At 58.0% G+C, this 24961-nt stretch overlaps 2 protein-coding genes across 22 annotated transcripts in view, besides 4 other annotated features; one reads left to right on the top strand and one right to left on the bottom strand.

The window, feature by feature from the left end:
• Positions 1 to 24961, top strand: part of BRF1 (BRF1 general transcription factor IIIB subunit) — a 106304-nt gene that overhangs the window by 56374 nt on the left and 24969 nt on the right. For 6 of the 20 annotated variants that reach the window (NM_001242787.2, NM_001242786.2, NM_001242788.2 and 3 more), the window contains 3 exons: positions 2667 to 2698; positions 6637 to 6709; positions 17802 to 17951. In NM_001242787.2, the coding sequence (NP_001229716.1) occupies positions 2667 to 2698; positions 6637 to 6709; positions 17802 to 17951 (255 nt within the window). The other 14 variants (XM_047431305.1, NM_001440451.1, XM_047431302.1 and 11 more) reach the window with 9 other exon arrangements.
• Positions 8123 to 10683, bottom strand: BTBD6 (BTB domain containing 6). 2 transcript variants are annotated; one of them, NM_033271.3, is made up of 5 exons: positions 10656 to 10683; positions 10131 to 10434; positions 9969 to 10059; positions 9738 to 9856; positions 8123 to 9576 (listed from the first exon to the last, which is right to left on the bottom strand). In NM_033271.3, the coding sequence occupies exons 2-5, from the start codon at positions 10343 to 10345 to the stop codon at positions 8544 to 8546; spliced, it is 1458 nt and encodes a 485-aa protein (NP_150374.2). In that variant the 5' UTR covers positions 10346 to 10434; positions 10656 to 10683; the 3' UTR covers positions 8123 to 8543. The 2 variants fall into 2 exon arrangements, with proteins under 2 accessions (NP_150374.2, NP_001374496.1); NM_001387567.1 differs by having other exon boundaries at positions 10131 to 10683.
• Positions 8686 to 9475: an enhancer, noted in NCBI's record as "H3K4me1 hESC enhancer chr14:105716078-105716867 (GRCh37/hg19 assembly coordinates)". NCBI's record gives its function as "activates a minimal SCP1, AML or CMV promoter by ChIP-STARR-seq in primed H9 embryonic stem cells {active_cell/tissue: H9 hESC(primed)}" and the evidence as "EXISTENCE:reporter gene assay evidence [ECO:0000049][PMID:30033119]".
• Positions 10082 to 10131: a silencer, noted in NCBI's record as "silent region_6223". NCBI's record gives its function as "represses an Ori minimal core promoter by ATAC-STARR-seq in GM12878 lymphoblastoid cells {active_cell/tissue: GM12878}" and the evidence as "EXISTENCE:reporter gene assay evidence [ECO:0000049][PMID:35858748]".
• Positions 10267 to 11057: an enhancer, noted in NCBI's record as "H3K27ac-H3K4me1 hESC enhancer chr14:105714496-105715286 (GRCh37/hg19 assembly coordinates)". NCBI's record gives its function as "activates a minimal SCP1, AML or CMV promoter by ChIP-STARR-seq in naive H9 embryonic stem cells {active_cell/tissue: H9 hESC(naive)}" and the evidence as "EXISTENCE:reporter gene assay evidence [ECO:0000049][PMID:30033119]".
• Positions 10332 to 10891: a silencer, noted in NCBI's record as "silent region_6222". NCBI's record gives its function as "represses an Ori minimal core promoter by ATAC-STARR-seq in GM12878 lymphoblastoid cells {active_cell/tissue: GM12878}" and the evidence as "EXISTENCE:reporter gene assay evidence [ECO:0000049][PMID:35858748]".

Here is a 24961-nt window from a genome sequence, read left to right as displayed (position 1 = left end):
GGCCTCAGCCTCCTAAAGTGCTGGGATTATGGGTGTGAGCCACTGCACCTGGCTGACATCTGTTTTTATTTCTCTTGGGTAAATACCTAGGAGTGGAATAGGTGGGTCAGAGGTGTGTGTTTAGCTTTGTAAGAAACTTCCAGGCCTTTTCCCAAGGTGGTTGTACCACTTCACGCTTCCATCAGCAGCATGGGTGAGCTGTGCTTGCCCCACATCCTCGCCGGCATTCAGTGACGTCGCGGGCTCGTGGCATTGTCACAGTTTTGTTTGCATTTCTGATGATTAATGCAGTTGAGTTCTTTTTCATGTGCTTGTTGGCTATTTTTTTTTGTCTTCATGAAGCTTCTGTTGAATTGTTTTGCCTTTTTTTATTTTGGCCTTTATTCTTTTTCTTATTTAAATAGAGTTCTTTTTTTTGAGACTGAGTCTCGCTCTGTTGCCCAGGCTGGAGTGCAGTGGTGCGATATTTGCTTACTGCAACTTCTGCTTCCTGGGTTCAAGCAATTCTCCCACCTCAGCCTCCCAAGTAGCTGGGATTACAGGTGCCCGCCACCACCCCCTGGGTAATTTTTGTATTTTTAGTAGAGACGGGGTTTCACCATGTTGGCCAGGCTGGTCTCAAACTCCTGACCTCAGGTGATCCTCCCACCTCGGCCTCCCAAAGTGTTGGGATTACAGGCGTGAGCCACTGCGCCTGGCCTTAGAGTTCATTTCTTTTTTTTTTTTTGAGACGGAGTCTCGCTCTGTCGCCCAGGCTGGAGTGCGGTGGCGCCATCTCGGCTCACTGCAAGCTCCGCCTTCTGGGTTCACGCCATTCTCCTGCCTCAGCCTCCCAAGTAGCTGGGACTACAGGTGCCCGCCAACACGCCCGGCTAATTTTTTTGTATTTTTAGTAGAGACGGGGTTTCACCATGTTAGCCAGGATGGTCTCGATCTCCTGACCTTGTGATCCACCCACCTCGGCCTCCCGAAGTGCTGGGATTACAGGCGTGAGTCACCGCGTCCAGCCCAGTAGAGTTTATTTCTTAGAGCAGTCTTAGTTTACAGAAAAATTGTGTAGAAAGTACAGAGTTCCCATACACCCCCTTCAATCCCCAATTTCCCTATGTTATTAACATCTTGTGTTAGCTGGTCCATTTGTTATGGTTGATGAGCCCGTCTTGCCAAGTTGTTGATAAGAAAAGTCCACAGTTCACATTGAGGTTCACTCTTGGGGCTGTGCCTTCTATGGGTTTTCACAAATATGCAATATGTGAACCCACCAGTGCGGAGTGGTGCAGAGCTGCAGCGTCCTGGAACCCTCCTCTCGGCCCACCCACCCTGCCTTTCCCCAGCCCTTGGTGGCCACTGACCTAATGCTGTCTCCATAGTTTTGCCTTTTCCGGAAGGTGTATGCTTGGAGTCACACAGGGTGTAGCCTTCTGGCCTCGTTCACTTTTCCCGTTGGTGTGTGTTGGCTGTCACGGGCGTTTCCCCAGGTAGTTCTTACTGCTTTCCTTTGGTTTCCTTTGATGTCACTGGCCCCACCCCTGCCGCCGGTCTTCTCATAGTGCCTCTTGTGAGGCTGTTGGCTGTGCTGCAGTCGGTCCTGCCCGTTGTCTCGGCCCTCTGGGACTGCCTGCCTTCAGATGCACCTTTGTTCACGGGCCTCACCGCTCACGTCCCAGCCGTCCTGGGGGTTCTGCTCTGTGTCGGAATGCCCCTGTACCCAGCCCTGGCACCTTCTTAGGGTGGGAGGCCTTGCTGTTCTGCATGGAGTTGCAAGAGAGGTCAGGGGCCTCCAGCCCAGGGCGTGGATGAGTGGGCTGGCGTCCTAACCATCTGATTGCTTGCGAGGTTCTTGCGTGGTGGGGCTTTGCTGCTCTGGTCCCGGGGATCTTCCTTTGGACCCCTGCTCTGGACTCCTGATCCAGCTCCAGGAGGTGTCCTTAGTGACTTCTCGAAGCTACAGTGGGCCCATGGGAGATGTGCACTTCAGCTGTCTGGCAGAGTGTATTAACCAGTGACTTGTGTTTGATAACTTATGTATCCATGTGAGTTTTGAATCACTTAGGACACATTCTTGGTCCTGTTTGTTCATCTGAGCGAAGACAGGTCCTGTGCGGGGTCCCCACACCTGTCTCTCGAGCGCAGCCCCCAGTGGCGCCTGCAGGCTCACCACTCACCAAGGGGGCCCCAGGTCTAGTTTTCTGTCTCTCGGGAGGACTGCCTGCCTGACGCCTGATAGGTGCTCAGCAAGTGCCCTTGGGATGGAGCATGAGTGCCACTGTCTCTTCTGTGCTGTGTGTGGGCAGCAGATCCACCATATGGTGGGCACCTGACTGGGCAGGCGGGTGTGTGGGGGTGCACGCTTTCTCCAGGATCAGATGGAAGCCCCCACCGTTTCTGGTTCCCCCGACCCGGCTCCAGGTTCCTTGCAGTCCCTTGTCCTGGTACTGGGTTCACAGAAGTCTCACTTGTGCCTGGGGCTGGGAGGTTCTGGTGAGGCCTGAGCGTGCCGCGCCTCGCTTCCATACCACCTTTCCTTCCTGATCAAAGGTGGAGCTTATATTTGGAGGGGCGACTCCAGCTCCCTGCAGGTGCAGTCCTGCGGTCCTGCCCATTTGAAGGTGGGCGAGTAACCTGAGCTTGCAGCCACTCGACAGGATCCTTGACTCCTGCTGCAGACATGCTCCTGGACCTCAGCGACCTGCTCCAGGTAGACAGCCTCCGTCCTGCATCTTTCCCCACCTGGGGTTGTGACCTGGGGGTTGTGACCAGGGTTGTGACCGGGGTGTACCCCAGGTGCCTCCACGCATCTCAGTGGCCGGTCTGTGCTGCCTGCCCAGTCAGGAAGTTTTGGTCTGTAGGATGAGGGGCCTTCATGACATGGGGGTCACAGTCCGAGACTTGTGGGAGTGTGGGTCTCCATGGCAGGAGGGCACCTGCCAATGCTGGGCACGGTTGGGTGTTAGCTAGGCCTGGGTGAACAGTGAACTTTTGTCCTACACAAAGGAGATTATTTTCAATTAAAAAATTTTTTTGTGAGTACCTAGTTTGGTATAGGAGATTATTTCTTTTGACCTTGCATTTTATTTATTTATTTATTTATGAGATGGAGTCTCGCTCTGTCACCCAGGCTGGAGTGCAGTGGCGTGATCTCAGCTTACTGCAACCTCTGCCTCCTGGGCTCAAGCAATCCTCCCACCTCAGCCTCCCAAGTAGCTGGGACCACAGGTGCCCACCACCATGCTCGGCTATTTTGTATTTTTAGTAGAGACGGGGTCTTGCTATGTTGCCCAGGCTGCTCTTGAACTCCTGAGCTCAAGCAACCCTCCCACCAAGGCCTCCCTAAGTACTGGGGTCACAGGCATGAACAACCATACCTGGCCTCTTGCATGCATTTTAAATTGTAGAAAAATCTTATATTACAGTCTGTTTGGAGACACTCACTTTCTGGGTACCACAGAAAGCACTTTCAGTTACATCTCTCTTTCCACATGACTGAACAAAGTGACAGAGTGGAAAGACCAACCCCAGGGACCCCTGTGCAGACAGGATACAGGGTGGGGGCACCGAGGCTCTGCAGGGACGGTGCTGGGGGCTGCACCACAGGTCCTTGGTGACCATGCTGCTGAGGACTCAGAAATATTGAAAACAGTTGTGACCACAGTGCAGAATTCATGTAGATTTCACTCCTCAAAGGGAGCTCTGTCCAGATCCAGGTGCCCACAGGGGTTCTGGGCACCCACAGGCTGTGCTGCCACCTCTGGTCCTCAAGGGCTTTCCGCCTTTGGCAGCAGCCCACAGTTAGGCTTCTGCCCGTGTCAGGTGGCATCTGGGGTCCTTGTCCTCCCAGCTGTCTTTATAAATGGCAACTCAGAAGCTACTGCTGAAACATTTTGTGGTCAAGCTAAAAATAGTCTGCTGGAATTGTGATAATCCAGCAAGTCCACATTTCAGATGCTCTCTGCTCAGTGCAGGGCAAAACCACATGACCCTGGTTCCAACCCCACGACTTCCCAGGGAAGATGAGTATGAGGGCCAGGGCCAGGGCAGCTGCTCCGGAAGTGGTCAGGCTCCTGGGGACTCAGATGGTCCCATGGCGAGCTCATGGAGTCTCCCTCTTGATCCCTGCCTTAGGGCAGACCCAGGTTGTTCACTGGCCTGGGCACACAGCTCATCAGACACCCACGAGGGCAGTCTGCAGGCAGAATCCACCTGCTGCCCAGGAAGAGAGATGGGGGGGGCAGCTGGCTGTGCCCCACCCTGACCTGCCCTCAAGGAGCAGCCACAGTTAGACTGTTAGCAAGAGAATTTCCAATAAATGGTCCTCATACATGGTAGCAACTCTGTAAAGAACTGCATGTATTTAGGCCGGGCGCGGTGGCTCACACCTGTAATCCCCGCACTTTGGGAGGCTGAGGCAGGCAGATCACCTGAGGTCAGGAGTTCAAGACCAGCCTGGCCAACATGGTGAAACCCCGTCTCTACTAAAAATACAAAAATTAGCTGAGCGTTGTGGCGGATGCCTATAATCCCAGCTACTTAGGAGGGTGAGACAGGAGAATCGCTTGAACCCTTGAGGTGGAGGTTGCAGTGAGTCACGATTGCGCCATTGCACTCCAGCCTGGGCAACAAGAGTGAAACTCTGTCTCAAGAAAACAAACAAAAAACTGCGGCCAGGTGCGGTGGCTCACTCCTGTAATCCCAGCACTTTGGGAGGCCGAGGCGGGCAGATCAGGAGGTCTGGAGATCGAGACCATCCTGTCTAACGCGGTGAAACTCCATCTCTACTAAAAACACAAAAAAATTAGCTGGGCGTGGTGGTGGGCGCCTGTAGTCCTGACTACTCAGGAGGCTGAGGCAGGAGAATGACGTGAACCCGGGAGGCAGAGCTTGCAGTGAGCAGAGATTGCACCACTGCACTCCAGCCTGGGCGACAGAGCAAGACTCCGTCTCAAAAACAAACAAACTAAAACAAAAAAACTGCACGCGTTTTGCACACATGGCTTTTTAAACGTGAGTTTCCATGTAAAGGCCCTTTGGAGATTCCTCACTTGCAGTGTTCAGGTCTCATTGATCCCTGTGTCTCTGGGACACAAGGTTGGGGGGTGTGGAGTTTGAGGTGGGCAGGCAGAGGCCAGCAGCAGATCATGGTTCTGCTGTGGCTTAAAGAGAGATGGTGGGATCAGGACGATCAAGATGCAGGGGCCTGGCAGGAACCCAGCACAGGGGCTGGGGCACTCATACATGACATGCGTGAGTCACACCTAGACACACTGTATGCGTGTGTACACACATGCATGTCTGCACACTGCATGCGGATGCACACACACACTACATGTGCTGACACGCCCCCCAGTTTGGTGAGCAGACCCCAGGGATCCCTGGAACCCCCAGAAACTGTGAGGAGGGGAAATTCCTTCAGAAGGCACACTCTGTGAGCCACCAGCCCTTGTGATGGAGCCCTCGGATATAATGGAGAAGATGGAAGCTGCGCCCCACTGGGGTGGATGGTGACCAGGAGGAGCTGCTGTGGGGGCCCAGCCCTCCCAGCGGGCAGGGTCCCTGATCAGAGGCATCCCCCACAAGCGCTGCCTCTGGCTCTTGCCTCTGTCTCTTGCCTCTAGCGCAGACAGGACCCTTTGTGTGCGGTCCCTTAGGTCTCCCAGTACCCTGGAGTCAGCAAGCACCTGGAAGTGCCACTGGCGGGCCAGGACAAGGGGACTTGTCTAAGGGCCCACGAGCCGGGCTTGGTCAGGCGAGGGAATTCTTTGGGGGAGGCTAGTGGCAGAGGGTCAGACTGGCCAAGCCTGTGAGGCCCGGGGGCCCCAGGGGCAAGCCTGGGATGAAGACAGCCAAGTGTGGGCAGGGCTCTTGCAGGCTCCAGTAGGGACCAGGCTATTCCCGCTGTGCACCTCATCCACACCTGCCAGCAGACATTGCTCTGAAGTGTCCTCCCCCAGCCAGCAGGGCTCCTTAGGGGTACTCGGCCCACGGCAGGGCTGTGCACAGGGTCTGCACACAGGCTAGAGTCCTTGTTTTGCTGAGGACAAGCAGCGGTGCTCCCATCACTGCCAGCCCTCGGCGTTGCCCTTCTCGGTCTGGGCCTCACCTCCACTGCCCTATGGCAGATAGCCGAGGCAGGGGTGACAGGATCTGTGTGGATTTGGACCTAAGGTAGGAACAGTGTGGGGGGCAGGGGAGTCACTGAGGAACACAGATCTCAGTCCCAGCAAGGGGGCTGAGGCCAAGACCCCTGGGCCCATCGGAATCTGGGCTGGAGGTGTGGCTGGTGGGAGCACATGTGGACAGAACTGGTTTTGTGTTCATGGGTGTGCAGTTGTGAATGAAATGCTGCGTGCACCGTGTGATGACGCCCTGGGAGGAACCTTGCAGTCAGGTTTTCTTCTAAGCAGATGCCATCATTGGCGAGACGGCAGCACGGCCTAAAGCAGCGGCTTAGAGGAAGAAGGCAGGGCCCTGGGAGCCCCAGCAGCCAAGGGAGGCCAGCCAGGCTTGCGGGTGTGGGGTGGCTGCTCCACGGGCCATCGGAGTCTTTAAAGACTGCACAAGAGATGCATTTTAAGAGAAAAAAAGCAAACATTTCCTTAAATACCAATGCTGTTTCTGGTTGTGATCTCTCCATCTCAGGTGAATGTGTACGTGCTTGGAAAGACGTTTCTTCTCTTGGCAAGAGAGCTCTGCATCAATGCGCCGGCCATAGGTAGGCATCTGGGTGAGATGCTGGGGTGTCCGGCAGGCTGCTGTAGGGACCAGCGTGCCAAATGTCCTTTGAACAGTGGAGGGAAATCCTGTCCAAGCATGGGACCCCTCAAGGTAAGAAATGTTTCTTAAAGCTGCTAGGAGCTCAGTAATGTGGGGCCTTATTTTCTAAGACACAGTCTCGCTGTTGTCCAGGCTGGAGTGCAGTGGCACAATCGTAGCTCACTGCAGCCTCAAACTCCTGGCCTCAAGTGATCCTCGTGCCTTCGCCTCCCAAAGCACTGGGATTACAGGCATGAGACCGCACCTGGCCTGGGGCTTGCTTTCTGCTGCAAAACCAGAAGGCCTGTTGTCAGTGCCTGTCAGGTGGCAGGAAGGTGTAGACAGGGAAACAAGTGCTGCGTGCTGGGAGCATCTTGTGTGGACAAGGTTTAAGGGACACACCTGGCTCCAGGTGCCTCTGGACAGATGGGGACAGTGGGGCAGCTCCTGGTTGTGCTTTCCAGCCACAGCCCTCTTTTGTGGTTTTTCTGCCACTTTTGTTCTGTGTTGTGTGCGAGTTTGTGGAACTCCTGTATGCCTTTCTTGATGTGTGTTAGGTGTAGGGTAAGTCCTGTCTCTCCCTCGAGGCAGCAGCAGTGTTCATGCATGCAGAATCTAACCTAGCGGAAAAGTCTAGAAGGAAAGGATCAAAACAGCACTCACTGCCCGATGGTTCTGACCTACCCTTTCTTTACCAAGCAGATGACTGGTTTCCATGGCCCGCTTAGAGGCCCCTTTCTTACTTTGCCTGTTTGCATCTAGGAGCGTATGTCCTTTGGGTAGAGAAGCACCAGGTGGGGCTGGGTCACCAACAGGACTGAGCAACACGGGCTGCAGCAGCAGAGGGGCACCGGCTGAGGCTATACACTCGGCCCATGCCCTCTCCCAGGTGCCAAGAGGGGCCATCCCTCTTTTCGGGGGTCATACAGGTTTTCCAGAAAACAACTGCCTACAGGGTATGCAGAGTGGGAGGAGAGAGACAAGGGGTGGGAGAGCCTGTTTCACCCTATAGTCCACTCCTGCAACAGGCTGTCCCGCAGCAGTGTCACAGCTAGTGACAGTCCCCAGGGTCCAGAACGCTGGGCCCAGCAGAATGCTCCCCCGACAGTCTGTTCATAGGGTAGGACTCTGAGGTGCTAGTGATGCATTAGGACATAGAGACAACCAGGCACCTGGTGTTTCCTAGGGTGGCCCAGAAGCCAGCCAGCAACCCAGGGGACAGATGGGCTTCACTGGGGCGCAGTTTGCTCCTAACCACATAGCATGTTCAGCATGACAGGTTTTCTCCTCGGGATGGGAGGGAGCTGTTCTGTTGCATGAGAAAGAGAATACCCCACTGTACAACTGCTGTAGTCATTTACTGACACGTGGGTGTTATTTTAGGCAACCTTTATTACAGAAGTCCACTATTTTAAGTGACTTTTTGCCAATTTTAGATTTGAAGGGAAGGTCTCAAGTTAAGCTTGGAACCACTTAGAATCCAAGAGGGTAGCAGGAAGATCCAACCCCTCAAAGCAGGTGGCATGGGTGCCACTGGGAGGGGATCTGGGGCCTGTCTTGAGCCGTAAATCTTCCTCCACCTGAGACGTGCACCCCACTGTACCAGAGATGCCTAAGACTCCAATCCCTGGGTTCTGGCTGTGTGGAAAATGTCTCTACACAGTCAAGCTTCAGCTGACTACATGTCAAAGAGAGACAAAGTTAAGAGCAGCCTTTCATGGTGTCAAGAAGCAGTTAGCATCTTGACTTCCCCTCCACTCACTCGCTGACCTGCTGCAGCCTCCCCGGGCACCTCAGGCATAGAAAATGAGCTCAGGGATCTGCCCACCCTGGACCCCAGTCCCGTTGGTGCTGTCCGAGGAGCACTGGAACTGGAAGGCCACCTTTCCACACTGCACTTCCGTCATCCCCTCCTGCCCAAAGTAGCTGAGTTCGCTGCCGTCCAGGACGGCACTGGCCGTGTAGAAGGTGTCTTGTTCAACCTGGACCGGGTGTTCAAACCAGACCGGGAAGGTGTTACTGGATCCGTCTGACATGAACTTGGTCAAGTTCTGAGCCAGAACCACCCCGAGCCGCTTGAGCTCAATCTTCACGCTGTACTCAGCCTTCCCAGAGCTGGAGCCATACAGGCCCAGCCCTGCAATAAATACCCTTCTGTCCACTGCAAACTGGATGCTGTCGCAGCGCCCGCGGTACCGCCACTGGTTGCTGCGGTAGGCAGAAGACTGGAATCGGTGGCACCTCTGCGGGGCGAGGCCCTTCCTCTTGGTCAGGGGAAAGTCCAGGCGGGGCTTGTTGGTGGCCGTGTACCACAGGAAGATGCTGTGGGTCTCCTCCAGAGTCAGGATGTCTGACTGGGCAGCGCCGTTGGCAAACTCCTCTAGGGTCATGGTTGGAATTCGGACCAGATAGAGGGCTCGCCCCAGAACATGCCTCTTGTTTCGTGGGGTGATTGGCAGCCCCTGCCTCTTGCACTCCGCCTCGGCCCAGTTCAGGACGGCCTCGAAGACCACCGCCTCTTTGGTGTTGAGGGCCTCCCGAGTGACAATGATCTCCAGCGTCTGCCGGTCTATCTCACAGAAGCCTTCGGACCGTAGGGCCATCTCGGCCTGTGCGTCAATGACCTCCCAGCAGCGCTGCGTCAGCTCGGGCTCCTCAAACAGCCGGCTCTGGGACAGCAGGACGCAGGCGTTCTTGGCTTCCAAACTTGTCTCCAGAAAGTTGACACAGGCTTTTGCCAATGCTGGGACGATGTACTTCTTAGCAGCGTACAGAGTGGCCAGCACCGTGTCGGCTTCCAGATCGATCTCATCACTGTACATGTACCTAGGCGAGGCAGGGCCCGCGTCAGGGGCTGGCTCCCAAGCACCCATCGCGGGGCTGGGCCTGGGAGAGGAGTCCATCAGCTCCTGTGTGCTTCCCTTCAGAAGCCTCCGGAGGCCGCCTAAAACGGACCCACCCGTCCCTCCCCAGTAGAGTGGACTTACTTTAAGAGGATCAGAAAGGCTGCGGGCTCCACGTCTGGAATGTGAATTTCAGATTTGACTTCCGCCAGGTCTCCGTAGAACATGGCATAGAAGACGGAGCTGCCGACAGCCAAGACGTACTGGGAGGAGAAAGCGCCGCCGTGAGCCTGGCTCTCCCGCAGGCTGCGTGTCAGCCACACGGCGGACGGGGCGGACGGGGCACGCGTTCCGAGAGGGGCCGCCGCTACCCACCTTGTGGGCGGGCACCGTCCTGGTCGCCCCCGGGGGCCCCACGACGAAGTGCACGTCGGCCATGAGCTCGTTGTTGAACATGAGCGCGTTCCTGCAAAGGTAGAGGCACGGGCTGGGGGCGTGGGCGCGCGCGGGCGCGGGGGCCGCGGGGCACGGGCTCACCTCTCGCGCAGCGTGGGGCGGCAGCACCGCCAGCCGGGGCTCTCCTGGTGGTTGTTGCCGAGTGTGGGCGGCGCGGGCGCGGGCGGCGGCGGCGCTGGCGCGGGGGCGCTGGGCGGGCTGCGCGGCCCGGCCTTCCTGCCCACGGCGGCGCCGGCGTTGCTGTTGGCTAGGTCCGCGGCCGCGGCGCTGGCGGGAGCGTAGAGTTCCGCCGCCATCTTCGCGGGCGGGGCGGCGGGGGCAGCCTCGGCGCCTGTGGACGCCGCGCCCCGCGCCCTCGCGCCGCGCCGGGGCCTCGGGAGCGGCTCTGCAAGCAAAAGCAAGGAGGTCAGGCACTGAGCGACGCGGCCGTGCAGGCAGGCTAGGGGCAGCAGCATGGGCGGCGGCGGCGCTGTGACCCGCGGGGCTGCCACCCGCTCCCCTGCCACCCCCGCCCCTGCGACCCTGCCCGAGCCCAGCCTAGCGCAGCCCGGCCAGGCCCGGCCGCGGGGGGCGCCGTCCCGCCCGCCCGCCCGCCCGAGCCCGTACCCGCCGCGGCGCCGGTGCGTCACGCTGCGTCAGGGCCGCGCCCCGCGCGACGTCGCTGCCTCGCGGCCCCGCCCCCAGGCCCGACATCCTCGAAGCTGCTCGAGCTTCTGCCCAGCAACCGGCGCGAGCCGCGCGCTGTGCAGAGGTAGCCGTGGAAGGCGGCTCCCGGCGCTGGCAGGCGGCCGCCCCCAGACCCGCAGTGCCATGCGCAGGTGCTTGCGCCCGTTCTTCAGTTAGCGATCTTTTGGTTAGGAACGCAGGTGGACCTGCTTGTTTGGCCATTTGCATTCCGGAGTCTGCCTCTGGCCGCGGCCTGTGGGATGGTCGTTGGGCTTCCTCGTTCGTTCAGATGCTTCGCGATTTAGCTTGCTACGGACGCCAGCAGCCAGCGCTTGCAGAGAGCGCGGTCCACTCTGCTCTGAGGGCTTTACAGGGGCAGGCGCTGCTATTTCCCGGCATTTTCCTCGAGGAAATAGGCACAGAGAGGTTAGTCGCGCGCTGAAGGTCACACAGCCGGCGGGTGGGCAAGTCAGGATCTGGCCCTGGGCCTGCAGCCCTGGAGCTTGGGCCCCAGGGCGCGCCCTGCCTCTGTGGCTCTGCCTGTGGATCGCAGTCGCAGGCTCGCTCCTTGTGGGGCCTCTAGCCTCCCGGCCTGGGGCTAATCCTGGGAGGTGCGTGGCATGGGGCACTGGCTTTGCTGATGAGGAGACCAGACTTCAGAGGCCGTGTCACCTGGCCTGGGCCGCACAGCTGGTGCATGCCAAGCTCGCGTGCAGACGAAGCTCCAGAGGCCTGGCTGTCAGGAGGGTTCCTCCCCGAGGACACACACGCAACCTCCTGGACCGCCAGGCTTTAGACTTTTAAAACTTCCATATGCAGGAAACCCCACAGGACGCAGCCAGCATCTCGGGTCATGGGTGCACCTGTCACCGCAGTCCTGGGCTAAACAGTGAACAGGAGCTCTGTGTCTCTGTGGTCGTTACAGTTGTAGTGAATGTTCCCTGGGAGAGTCCTCTTCAGAAGATATTTGCGGTATTTTCAACAAAGGACTCTCCAGGATGGAGGAGCAACTACAAGTCAGGAAGGAAAAGGCTGACAACCCAGTTTTTTAAAAAACGGGCAAAGGACGTGAACAGACACCATGCAATGGCCCAGAGTGCACAAATCATCATTTCTCCCAGGAATGGGGTGCCCGAGCCCCCAGGCGGCTGAACTTGAGACTTGTCACGTAGTGTTGGTGGAATGCAGAGCAGCTGGAGATCACCTGCTGCAGGTGGGTGCGTAACTCCGCACGGCCAAGCCGTTTGGAAAGCTGTAGCATATGCATGAGAGTCCGGAAAGTTCCGAGAGAAAGTGTGTGGATGCACCCGCCAAGGACACACCCACCGAGGCCACAGCTGCGATTTCATAGTGTGGGACCCCACTGGCAAAGACACGCTGGCTGCTGTGGCCGTGGTTTCTGTCCCAGCCGTCTGTTTCCATAGAAAAAGGTAACGGGCATAAGCAGTTTCCAGGAGAAATACAAATGGCCAGAGTGGAGACAGCCTACATGTCCATCAGCAACAGAAAGGATCAGCAGGTTGTGGTGGGTCCATTTGGGGAATGCAGTGAGAAGGAATAACTTACAGCAGCACACAAGACCTGGGCGACAGCTGTCTCCGGGGGTGCCAGGATAGAATTGCTGAGCCGCCAGAGGTAGTCAGCGTCTTGATCTGCATGGTGGTGTGGAGCATGTGAATAATAATTTTCATCCTTAGAAAGAAACCACCCTTTGCACTTTGATTTTTAAATATGTTACAGTGTAGGTTGGGCGCGGTGGCTCACGCCTGTAATCCCAGCACTTTGGGAGGCCAAGGTGGGCGGATCACTTGAGGTCAGGAGTTTGAGACCAGCCTGGCCAACATGGTGAAACCCCATCTCTACTAAAAATACAAAAATTAACGGGCACCTGTAATCCCAGCTATTCGGGAGGCCAAGGAAGGAGAATGGCTCGAACCAGGGAGGCGGAGGTTGCAGTGAGCTGAGATCATGCTACTGCACTCCAGCCTGGATGACAGAGCGAGACTCCGTTGACCAGGCTGGTCTTAAACTCCTGGCCTCAAGTGATCTACCTGCCTAGGCCTCCCAAAGTGCTGGGATTACAGGTGTGAGCCACCGCGCCCAGCCTATTCTTTTTTGTTTGTGATAATGGTCATCCTAATGGACATGAGGTAGTGTCATGTGGTTTTGATTTGCATGTCCCTGATAAATAATGATGTTGACCATCTACTCATGTGCTTGTTGGCTATTTGCATGGCGTGTTTGGAGAAACGTCTGTTCAAGGGCTTTGCCTTTTTTTTTTGAGACAGAGTCTTACTCCGTTGCCCAGGCTGGAGTGCGGTGGTGAGGGTGCACTGCAACATCCGCCTTCCAGGTTCAAGCGATTCTTGTGCCTCAGCCTCCCAAAGAGCTGGGATTACAAAAGTGCAGTTTGCCCATTTTTAATCGATTTTGTTCCTGAGTTGGAGTTTTTTGTATATTCAGGCTGTTAACCCCTTATGAGATAGATGGTTTGCACATAGTCTCTTCCATTCTATAGGATATCATTTCTGTTAATAGATTCCTTTGCTGTGCAGAAACTTTTTAGTTTGAGGTCATCCCATTTGTCTATTTTTACTTTCGTTGCCCTTGCTGTTGGTGTCATGTTCAAGAAATCATTGCCAAGACCAATGTCGTGAAGTCTTTCCCTTTGTTTTCTTCTAAGGGTTTTACAGTTTCAAGTCTGTGTTTGGGTCTTGCATCGGTTTTGAGTTAGTTTTTGTGTATGATGTAAGGTAAGGGTCTATCTTTATTTGCAAGTGGATATCCAGTTTTCCCAGCGCTGCATATTGAAGAGACCATCCTTTCCCCATTGTGCAAGAAGTTCTTGTCACCCTTGTTGAAGGTCATCTGTCTGTCATTGTCATTTCTGGCCCTGTGCTGTCCTGTCCTGTCCTGTCCTGTCCTGTTCTGTTCTGTTGGTCTGTAGGTCTGTCTTTATGTCAGCACCATACTGGCTGTTGGACTTTTTAATTCTTTTCTTGACAGTGGTAATTTATTTGCTTCTTTTTCTTATTAGTCCCTTTGCCTACTTTAAATAATTAATTTTGTTAATTTTTAGTTTTCTGTTATTTTAGTTCATTAATTTCATTGCTTCCTTTATTTATTTATTTATTTTTTTTGAGATGGAGTCTTGCTCTGTCACTCAGGCTGGAGTGCAGTGGCACGATCTCAGCTCACTGCAACCTCCACCTCCCAGGTTCAAGTGATTCTCCTGTCTCAGTCTCCTGAGTAGCTGGGATTACAGGCACTTGCCACCATGCCCGGCTAATTTTTTGTATTTTTTAGTAGAGACGGGGTTTCGCTGTGTTGCCCGGGCTGGTTTCAAACTTCTGAGCTCAGGCAATCCACCTGCCTCGGCCTCCCAAAGTGCTAGGATTACAGGTGTGAGCCACCACGCCTGACCCATTGCTGCCTTAAATACACAAAGCGCTTGAGTTAATAAAGTTACCTGAAGGATTGAACTTTAATTTCTAACAGCGTTTGGAGGTGAGGGGACTACTTGTTTTTGCTCATTTTTAGTTTTTTTTTTTTTGCACTTGGGGTCAAATGGCATGTCCTATGTGCTGTTACCTGAAATATATTGAGGGTTTCTTTGTTCTATCATACCTGGTCATTTTCATAACTGTCCCACAGACACTGGAGAAGCATGATGACTCCATGGGGTACAGAATTTAGAACATCCTTGTCAGATTGAGTCTATGGTGATGTGTCTTAAGTCGTCCCTTAGTCTTTTTTTTCCTAATCAGTCTGTCAAATTTCAGAGAACCATGTTAAAATCCCCTATTATTGTGGTTTTGAAGGTTGTTTCCAGTGTTTTTCCTTCATTTAATTCTTCCTCTGTCGCTGTGCGCCTGCAGATTCCAGGCTGCTTGACATGGGTTCCTTTCCATGATGAAATGCCATGCCTGTCCCGTGCCGCTCTGCCACTCCGCGTTTGCCCACCGTGCCGCCGCTGCCCACCACTTCCTCCTCCACCCTAGTCACTGACAGATTTGTCTTGAAAAAAACACTTTTTGCTTGTCTTTTTTGTTTTTTGTTTTGAGACATGGTGTCAGTCACCTAGGCTAGAATGCAGTGGCAAGGTCATGGCTCAATGCAGCCCCGACCTCCTGGACTCAAGCAATCCTCCCACCTCAGCCTCCCAAGTAGCTGAGACAACAGGTATGCATCACTACACTAGGCTAAATTTTTCATTTTTTGTAAAGATGGGGGTCTCACTATATTGCCTAGGCTGGTTTCAAACTCCTGGGCTCAAGCGATCCTCCTGCCTTGGCCTCCCAAAGTTCTGGGACTCACAGGTGTGAGCCACTGCATCCGGCCCCAGATTTTTGTTTTAAGAGATGGGGTCTTGCTGTGTTTCCCAGGCTGACCTCGAACTCCCGGGCTCAAGCAATCCTCCCACCTCGGCCTTCCAAGTAGCTAGGAATGTAGGTATGAGCCACTCTGCCTGGCTTGTCTTGAATTTTTTGTTTGTTTGTTTGAGATGGAGTCTCGCTCTGTCGCCTAGGCTGGAGTACAGTGGCGCAGTCTTGGTTCATTGCAACCTCCACCTCCCGGGTTCAAGCAAATTCTCCTGTTTCAGCCTCCTTAGTACCTGGGATGACTACAGGCGCACACCACCACCCCCAGCTAATTTTTGTATCTTTAGTAGAGATGGGGTTTCACTATATTGGCCAGGCTGGTCTTGAATTCCTGACGTCAGGTGATCCACCCTCCTCGGCCTCCCAAAGTGCTGGGATTACAGGTGTGAGCCACTGTGCCCAGCCGTTGATATATTTACCAGTGTTTTTGAAATGAGTTTTCTATTTCAATAATTAATGAGCATCAAAGTCTCACCCACATTAGTACATCTTTTTCTTTCTCTCTCTTTTTTTTTTTCTGTTGCCCAGGCCTGAGTACAGTGGTGCAATCACAGCTCACTGCAGCCTCAACCTCCCGGGCTCAAGTGATCCTACTGCCTCAGCCTCCTCAGTAGCTGGGACTAGACCACACCCACTAATTTTTTATTTTTATTTTTTTTTTTTTAAGAGACAGAGTCTTGCTGCTCTGTCGCCCAGGCTGGAGTGCAGTGGCATGATCTTGGCTCACTATAACCTCCACCTCCCAGCTTCAAGCAATGCTGTAGTCTCAGCCTTTCAAGTATCTGGGACTATAGGTGCCCGCCACCACACCCGGCTAATTTTTTTTTTTTTTTGTATTTTAGTAAAGACTGGGTTTCACTATGGTGTCCAGGGTGGTCTCGAACTCCTAAGCTCAGGCAATCCACCTGCCTTGGCCTCCCAAAATTCTGGGATTACAGATGTGAGCCACCACACCCAGCCTCACACCCACTAATTTTTTTGTTTGTTTGTTTGTTTGTTTTTTGAGACAGAGTCTCACTCTGTCATCCAGGCTGGAGTGCAGTGGCATGATCTTGGCTCACTGCAATCTCCGCCTCCTAGGTTCAAGCGATTCTCCTGCCTCAGCCTCCCAAGTAGGTGGGATTACAGGCGTGCACCACCACGCCCAGCTCATTTTTTGTATTTTAGTTGAGACGGGGTTTCACCATGTTGCCCAGGGTGGTCTCGATCTCCTGAGCTCAGGTCATCCACCCGCCCTAATCTCCCAAAGTGTTGGGATTACAGGCGTAAGCCGCAGCACCTGGCCCCGGCCAAATTTTTTTCAAAAACTTTTGTATAGACTTCGTCTCTGTATTGCCCAGTCTATAAGCGTATCTTTTTTTTTTTTTTTTTTTTTTTTTTTTTGAGTCAGAACTTCGCTCTTGTTGCCCAGGCTGGAGTGCAATGCTGCGATCTCAGCTCACCAAAACCTCCACCTCCCTGGTTCAAGCAATTCTCCAGCCTCAGCCTCTTGAGTAGCTGGGACTAGAGGCATGCACCACCACGCCCTGCAAATTTTGTATTTTTAGTAAAGATGGGGTTTCTCCATGTTGGTCAGGCCGGTCTCGAACTGCGGACCTCAGGTGATCCGCCCGCCTCGGCCCCCAAAGTGCTGGGATTAGAGGTGTGAGCCACCGCGCCCAGCCTATGAGCATATTTTTTATCGTTCTCTTTATTTCTAGCTGCGATGATTGTATCTTATTGAAAATCATTAAAAATCTTAGCAATTGTTTTAAATTATCTAATTTTTTTCTCCAAATAATATCTATTTTAGCAGCCAAATCACCACAAATCATTGGTTTTTATCTTTAGTTGTGGGTGCACAGCGGGTGCGTGTATTTTGGGGCATGTGAGGTGTCTTGATGCGTTCATGCAGTGTGTAACAGTCACATCAGGGTAAATGGGACATCTTTCACCTCAAGCATTTATCCTTCGTGTTATGGACACCCTCAGCTGGAAAGGGGGGCTGCGTCGTGAGTATGAATGGATGCAAGTCATAGCCACCTGAGCCTGGTGGGGCACAGCAGGGCCCTGTGGAGTCACATCCCGGCCTCATGCTCGGCATAGGGGAGCGCTGCTTAGGTCCATGCAGTCGCTCAGGGCCCAGGCTGTGCAGCGCCCAGCCTGTCCTGCTCCAGGCACTCCCCCGTGGCACTGTGCCGTGCTGGCAGAGGTGCACAGCGCCAGGCCTCAGTGTGCACACACAGCCCCCGTGGCACCGCCATGCTGGTAGAGATGCCAGAAGTGGGCCCTCCTCTCACCCATGAGTGTCAGCTGATGCCGGCCGGCTGGCGACTTGTGTACCCAGCCCACGCCTGTCTTGCTCTAAGAGTCCCCGGACCGTTGTTGCGTGTGGTGCTGTCTGCATGGTCTGGAGGGAAGGCTGCTGGGTGTGCGCCCCTCTGTGTCCTGAGCAGGGCGGCCATGCAGTAGGAGCACGCTGCCTGGCCCTAGCGTGTCTGCAGCAGGCTGGCTGGCAGCAGGTGGCCAGTGGCTCTCCTGGGTTCGGTGCGATGGCTGCCCTAGCTGAGGGTCAGAGAGGCTTTGTCCAGGGGAGGGGAACTGGTGGGGGGCCTGGGGGCCTGGAAAGACAAGTGCAGGTTGCCCCACCCCTGGGCTGCGTGGGCCGCCTGTGCACGTGCCATGGCACATGGAGGTGGGCACTGAGGTGCTGTGTCTGCCGCAGACCCGTGCCTGTATATTCCACGCTTTGCGCACCTGCTGGAATTCGGGGAGAAGAACCACGAGGTGTCCATGACTGCCCTGAGGCTCCTACAGAGGATGAAGCGGGACTGGATGCACACAGGCCGGCGCCCCTCGGGCCTCTGCGGAGCAGGTACAGCGGGCCCTGCCTGCCTGGGGGATGCTGGTCTGGGTCCTGGCCTCACACTTTCCTGACTCCTGAGTGCTGGTGGGCTGGGCCGTATGTTTGCAGAGCACTGAGAGCTGCCTCCAGCCTCCCGGGGCTGACTCTGGCCTGGCCCACCGGGGTCCTCAGCCCTCCAGGACCTCCTGGCTGCCCCGTTGGCCTCTGCGTGTCCTGGCATAAGGGGCAGAACTCTCAGGGCAGAGCGGCCTTGACCCCAGGTTGCCTACTTCTGGGGTGCGGCTGCATGGGCATCCCTGCCCGTGGTCTCGTGGGGCCCGGCTTCTGACGCGGACAGTGGTGTGGCCTCTCTCTCCTGAGATGCTAGGTTGTTGCTCCTGAGGGTGCCACAGGGCTGCCAGGCTGTCCCCCGCCCCCAGCTGGGCGACTACGCGGATAGTGGTGTGGCCTCTCTCTCCTGAGATGCTAGGTTGTTGCTCCTGAGGGTGCCACAGGGCTGCCAGGCTGTCCCCCGCCCCCAGCTGGGCGACTACGCGGATAGTGGTGTGGCCTCTCTCTCCTGAGATGCTAGGTTGTTGCTCCTGAGGGTGCCACAGGGCTGTCAGGCTGTCCCCCGCCCCCAGCTGGGCGACTACGCGGACAGTGGTGTGGCCTCTCTCTCCTGAGATGCTAGGTTGTTGCTCCTGAGGGTGCCACAGGGCTGCCAGGCTGTCCCCCGCCCCCAGCTGGGCGACTACGCGGATAGTGGTGTGGCCTCTCTCTCCTGAGATGCTAGGTTGTTGCTCCTGAGGGTGCCACAGGGCTGCCAGGCTGTCCCCCGCCCCCAGCTGGGCGACTACGCGGACAGTGGTGTGGCCTCTCTCTCCTGAGATGCTAGGTTGTTGCTCCTGAGGGTGCCACAGGGCTGTCAGGCTGTCCCCCGCCCCCAGCTGGGCGACTACGCGGACAGTGGTGTGGCCTCTCTCTCCTGAGATGCTAGGTTGTTGCTCCTGAGGGTGCCACAGGGCTGCCAGGCTGTCCCCCGCCCCCAGCTGGGCGACTACGCGGACAGTGGTGTGGCCTCTCTCTCCTGAGATGCTAGGTTGTTGCTCCTGAGGGTGCCACAGGGCTGCCAGGCTGTCCCCCGCCCCCAGCTGGGCGACTACGCGGACAGTGGTGTGGCCTCTCTCTCCTGAGATGCTAGGTTGTTGCTCCTGAGGGTGCCACAGGGCTGCCAGGCTGTCCCCCGCCCCCAGCTGGGCGACTACGCGGACAGTGGTGTGGCCTCTCTCTCCTGAGATGCTAGGTTGTTGCTCCTGAGGGTGCCACAGGGCTGCCAGGCTGTCCCCCGCCCCCAGCTGGGCGACTACGCGGACAGTGGTGTGGCCTCTCTCTCCTGAGATGCTAGGTTGTTGCTCCTGAGGGTGCCACAGGGCTGCCAGGCTGTCCCCCGCCCCCAGCTGGGCGACTACGCGGACAGTGGTGTGGCCTCTCTCTCCTGAGATGCTAGGTTGTTGCTCCTGAGGGTGCCACAGGGCTGCCAGGCTGTCCCCCGCCCCCAGCTGGGCGACTACGCGGACAGTGGTGTGGCCTCTCTCTCCTGAGATGCTAGGTTGTTGCTCCTGAGGGTGCCACAGGGCTGCCAGGCTGTCCCCCGCCCCCAGCTGGGCGACTACGCGGACAGTGGTGTGGCCTCTCTCTCCTGAGATGCTAGGTTGTTGCTCCTGAGGGTGCCACAGGGCTGTCAGGCTGTCCCCCGCCCCCAGCTGGGCGACTACGCGGACAGTGGTGTGGCCTCTCTCTCCTGAGATGCTAGGTTGTTGCTCCTGAGGGTGCCACAGGGCTGTCAGGCTGTCCCCCGCCCCCAGCTGGGCGACTACGCGGACAGTGGTGTGGCCTCTCTCTCCTGAGATGCTAGGTTGTTGCTCCTGAGGGTGCCACGGGGCTGCCAGGCTGTCCCCCGCCCCCAGCTGGGCGACTACGCGGACAGTGGTGTGGCCTCTCTCTCCTGAGATGCTAGGTTGTTGCTCCTGAGGGTGCCACAGGGCTGCCAGGCTGTCCCCCGCCCCCAGCTGGGCGACTACGCGGACAGTGGTGTGGCCTCTCTCTCCTGAGATGCTAGGTTGTTGCTCCTGAGGGTGCCACAGGGCTGCCAGGCTGTCCCCCGCCCCCAGCTGGGCGACTACGCGGACAGTGGTGTGGCCTCTCTCTCCTGAGATGCTAGGTTGTTGCTCCTGAGGGTGCCACGGGGCTGCCAGGCTGTCCCCCGCCCCCAGCTGGGCGACTACGCGGACAGTGGTGTGGCCTCTCTCTCCTGAGATGCTAGGTTGTTGCTCCTGAGGGTGCCACAGGGCTGCCAGGCTGTCCCCCGCCCCCAGCTGGGCGACTACGCGGATAGTGGTGTGGCCTCTCTCTCCTGAGATGCTAGGTTGTTGCTCCTGAGGGTGCCACAGGGCTGCCAGGCTGTCCCCCGCCCCCAGCTGGGCGACTACGCGGACAGTGGTGTGGCCTCTCTCTCCTGAGATGCTAGGTTGTTGCTCCTGAGGGTGCCACAGGGCTGCCAGGCTGTCCCCCGCCCCCAGCTGGGCGACTACGCGGACAGTGGTGTGGCCTCTCTCTCCTGAGATGCTAGGTTGTTGCTCCTGAGGGTGCCACAGGGCTGCCAGGCTGTCCCCCGCCCCCAGCTGGGCGACTACGCGGACAGTGGTGTGGCCTCTCTCTCCTGAGATGCTAGGTTGTTGCTCCTGAGGGTGCCACAGGGCTGCCAGGCTGTCCCCCGCCCCCAGCTGGGCGACTACGCGGATAGTGGTGTGGCCTCTCTCTCCTGAGATGCTAGGTTGTTGCTCCTGAGGGTGCCACAGGGCTGCCAGGCTGTCCCCCGCCCCCAGCTGGGCGACTACGCGGATAGTGGTGTGGCCTCTCTCTCCTGAGATGCTAGGTTGTTGCTCCTGAGGGTGCCACAGGGCTGCCAGGCTGTCCCCCGCCCCCAGCTGGGCGACTACGCGGACAGTGGTGTGGCCTCTCTCTCCTGAGATGCTAGGTTGTTGCTCCTGAGGGTGCCACAGGGCTGCCAGGCTGTCCCCCGCCCCCAGCTGGGCGACTACGCGGACAGTGGTGTGGCCTCTCTCTCCTGAGATGCTAGGTTGTTGCTCCTGAGGGTGCCACGGGGCTGCCAGGCTGTCCCCCGCCCCCAGCTGGGCGACTACGCGGACAGTGGTGTGGCCTCTCTCTCCTGAGATGCTAGGTTGTTGCTCCTGAGGGTGCCACAGGGCTGCCAGGCTGTCCCCCGCCCCCAGCTGGGCGACTACGCGGACAGTGGTGTGGCCTCTCTCTCCTGAGATGCTAGGTTGTTGCTCCTGAGGGTGCCACAGGGCTGCCAGGCTGTCCCCCGCCCCCAGCTGGGCGACTACGCGGATAGTGGTGTGGCCTCTCTCTCCTGAGATGCTAGGTTGTTGCTCCTGAGGGTGCCACAGGGCTGTCAGGCTGTCCCCCGCCCCCAGCTGGGCGACTACGCGGACAGTGGTGTGGCCTCTCTCTCCTGAGATGCTAGGTTGTTGCTCCTGAGGGTGCCACAGGGCTGCCAGGCTGTCCCCCGCCCCCAGCTGGGCGACTACGCGGACAGTGGTGTGGCCTCTCTCTCCTGAGATGCTAGGTTGTTGCTCCTGAGGGTGCCACAGGGCTGCCAGGCTGTCCCCCGCCCCCAGCTGGGCGACTACGCGGACAGTGGTGTGGCCTCTCTCTCCTGAGATGCTAGGTTGTTGCTCCTGAGGGTGCCACAGGGCTGTCAGGCTGTCCCCCGCCCCCAGCTGGGCGACTACGCGGACAGTGGTGTGGCCTCTCTCTCCTGAGATGCTAGGTTGTTGCTCCTGAGGGTGCCACAGGGCTGTCAGGCTGTCCCCCGCCCCCAGCTGGGCGACTACGCGGACAGTGGTGTGGCCTCTCTCTCCTGAGATGCTAGGTTGTTGCTCCTGAGGGTGCCACGGGGCTGCCAGGCTGTCCCCCGCCCCCAGCTGGGCGACTACGCGGACAGTGGTGTGGCCTCTCTCTCCTGAGATGCTAGGTTGTTGCTCCTGAGGGTGCCACAGGGCTGCCAGGCTGTCCCCCGCCCCCAGCTGGGCGACTACGCGGACAGTGGTGTGGCCTCTCTCTCCTGAGATGCTAGGTTGTTGCTCCTGAGGGTGCCACAGGGCTGCCAGGCTGTCCCCCGCCCCCAGCTGGGCGACTACGCGGACAGTGGTGTGGCCTCTCTCTCCTGAGATGCTAGGTTGTTGCTCCTGAGGGTGCCACAGGGCTGCCAGGCTGTCCCCCGCCCCCAGCTGGGCGACTACGCGGACAGTGGTGTGGCCTCTCTCTCCTGAGATGCTAGGTTGTCGCTCCTGAGGGTGCCACAGGGCTGCCAGGCTGTCCCCCGCCCCCAGCTGGGCGACTACGCGGACAGTGGTGTGGCCTTTTTCTCCTGAGATGCTAGGTTGTGCTCCTGAGGGTGCCACAGGGCTGCCAGGCTGTCCCCCGCCCCCAGCTGGGCGACTACGCGGACAGTGGTGTGGCCTTTTTCTCCTGAGATGCTAGGTTGTGGCTCCTGAGGGTGCCACAGGGCTGTCAGGCTGTCCCCCGCCCCCAGCTGGGCGACTACGCGGACAGTGGTGTGGCCTCTCTCTCCTGAGATGCTAGGTTGTGGCTCCTGAGGGTGCCACAGGGCTGTCAGGCTGTCCCCCGCCCCCAGCTGGGCGACTACGCGGACAGTGGTGTGGCCTCTCTCTCCTGAGATGCTAGGTTGTTGCTCCTGAGGGTGCCACAGGGCTGCCAGGCTGTCCCCCGCCCCCAGCTGGGCGACTACGCGGACAGTGGTGTGGCCTCTCTCTCCTGAGATGCTAGGTTGTTGCTCCTGAGGGTGCCACAGGGCTGTCAGGCTGTCCCCCGCCCCCAGCTGGGCGACTACGCGGACAGTGGTGTGGCCTCTCTCTCCTGAGATGCTAGGTTGTTGCTCCTGAGGGTGCCACGGGGCTGCCAGGCTGTCCCCCGCCCCCAGCTGGGCGACTACGCGGACAGTGGTGTGGCCTCTCTCTCCTGAGATGCTAGGTTGTTGCTCCTGAGGGTGCCACGGGGCTGCCAGGCTGTCCCCCGCCCCCAGCTGGGCGACTACGCGGACAGTGGTGTGGCCTCTCTCTCCTGAGATGCTAGGTTGTTGCTCCTGAGGGTGCCACAGGGCTGTCAGGCTGTCCCCCGCCCCCAGCTGGGCGACTACGCGGACAGTGGTGTGGCCTCTCTCTCCTGAGATGCTAGGTTGTTGCTCCTGAGGGTGCCACAGGGCTGCCAGGCTGTCCCCCGCCCCCAGCTGGGCGACTACGCGGACAGTGGTGTGGCCTCTCTCTCCTGAGATGCTAGGTTGTTGCTCCTGAGGGTGCCACAGGGCTGCCAGGCTGTCCCCCGCCCCCAGCTGGGCGACTACGCGGACAGTGGTGTGGCCTCTCTCTCCTGAGATGCTAGGTTGTTGCTCCTGAGGGTGCCACAGGGCTGCCAGGCTGTCCCCCGCCCCCAGCTGGGCGACTACGCGGATAGTGGTGTGGCCTCTCTCTCCTGAGATGCTAGGTTGTTGCTCCTGAGGGTGCCACAGGGCTGTCAGGCTGTCCCCCGCCCCCAGCTGGGCGACTACGCGGACAGTGGTGTGGCCTCTCTCTCCTGAGATGCTAGGTTGTTGCTCCTGAGGGTGCCACAGGGCTGCCAGGCTGTCCCCCGCCCCCAGCTGGGCGACTACGCGGACAGTGGTGTGGCCTCTCTCTCCTGAGATGCTAGGTTGTTGCTCCTGAGGGTGCCACAGGGCTGCCAGGCTGTCCCCCGCCCCCAGCTGGGCGACTACGCGGATAGTGGTGTGGCCTCTCTCTCCTGAGATGCTAGGTTGTTGCTCCTGAGGGTGCCACAGGGCTGTCAGGCTGTCCCCCGCCCCCAGCTGGGCGACTACGCGGACAGTGGTGTGGCCTCTCTCTCCTGAGATGCTAGGTTGTTGCTCCTGAGGGTGCCACAGGGCTGCCAGGCTGTCCCCCGCCCCCAGCTGGGCGACTACGCGGACAGTGGTGTGGCCTCTCTCTCCTGAGATGCTAGGTTGTTGCTCCTGAGGGTGCCACAGGGCTGCCAGGCTGTCCCCCGCCCCCAGCTGGGCGACTACGCGGACAGTGGTGTGGCCTCTCTCTCCTGAGATGCTAGGTTGTTGCTCCTGAGGGTGCCACAGGGCTGCCAGGCTGTCCCCCGCCCCCAGCTGGGCGACTACGCGGACAGTGGTGTGGCCTCTCTCTCCTGAGATGCTAGGTTGTTGCTCCTGAGGGTGCCACAGGGCTGCCAGGCTGTCCCCCGCCCCCAGCTGGGCGACTACGCGGATAGTGGTGTGGCCTCTCTCTCCTGAGATGCTAGGTTGTTGCTCCTGAGGGTGCCACAGGGCTGTCAGGCTGTCCCCCGCCCCCAGCTGGGCGACTACGCGGACAGTGGTGTGGCCTCTCTCTCCTGAGATGCTAGGTTGTTGCTCCTGAGGGTGCCACAGGGCTGCCAGGCTGTCCCCCGCCCCCAGCTGGGCGACTACGCGGACAGTGGTGTGGCCTCTCTCTCCTGAGATGCTAGGTTGTTGCTCCTGAGGGTGCCACAGGGCTGTCAGGCTGTCCCCCGCCCCCAGCTGGGCGACTACGCGGACAGTGGTGTGGCCTCTCTCTCCTGAGATGCTAGGTTGTTGCTCCTGAGGGTGCCACGGGGCTGCCAGGCTGTCCCCCGCCCCCAGCTGGGCGACTACGCGGACAGTGGTGTGGCCTCTCTCTCCTGAGATGCTAGGTTGTTGCTCCTGAGGGTGCCACGGGGCTGCCAGGCTGTCCCCCGCCCCCAGCTGGGCGACTACGCGGACAGTGGTGTGGCCTCTCTCTCCTGAGATGCTAGGTTGTTGCTCCTGAGGGTGCCACAGGGCTGTCAGGCTGTCCCCCGCCCCCAGCTGGGCGACTACGCGGACAGTGGTGTGGCCTCTCTCTCCTGAGATGCTAGGTTGTTGCTCCTGAGGGTGCCAC

Source organism: Homo sapiens, chromosome 14 (genome assembly GCF_000001405.40).
Source record: "Homo sapiens chromosome 14, GRCh38.p14 Primary Assembly".
NCBI classification, from domain to species: domain Eukaryota; kingdom Metazoa; phylum Chordata; class Mammalia; order Primates; family Hominidae; genus Homo; species Homo sapiens.
This window is presented reverse-complemented; position numbering and strand designations above follow the sequence as displayed.

What these genes read in the sequence shown, in the direction of transcription:
- BTBD6 (NM_001387567.1), bottom strand. Translation starts at nt 10,504, where the DNA reads ATGCTGCTGCCCCTAGCCTGCCTGCACGGCCGCGTCGCTCAGTGCCTG. An exon ending in GGACGGTGCCCGCCCACAAG is followed by an intron (nt 9,857 to 9,968) that starts GTGGGTAGCGGC and finishes TTCTCCTCCCAG; the next exon opens with TACGTCTTGGCTGTCGGCAG. An exon ending in GCCTTTCTGATCCTCTTAAA is followed by an intron (nt 9,577 to 9,737) that starts GTAAGTCCACTC and finishes TGCCTCGCCTAG; the next exon opens with GTACATGTACAGTGATGAGA.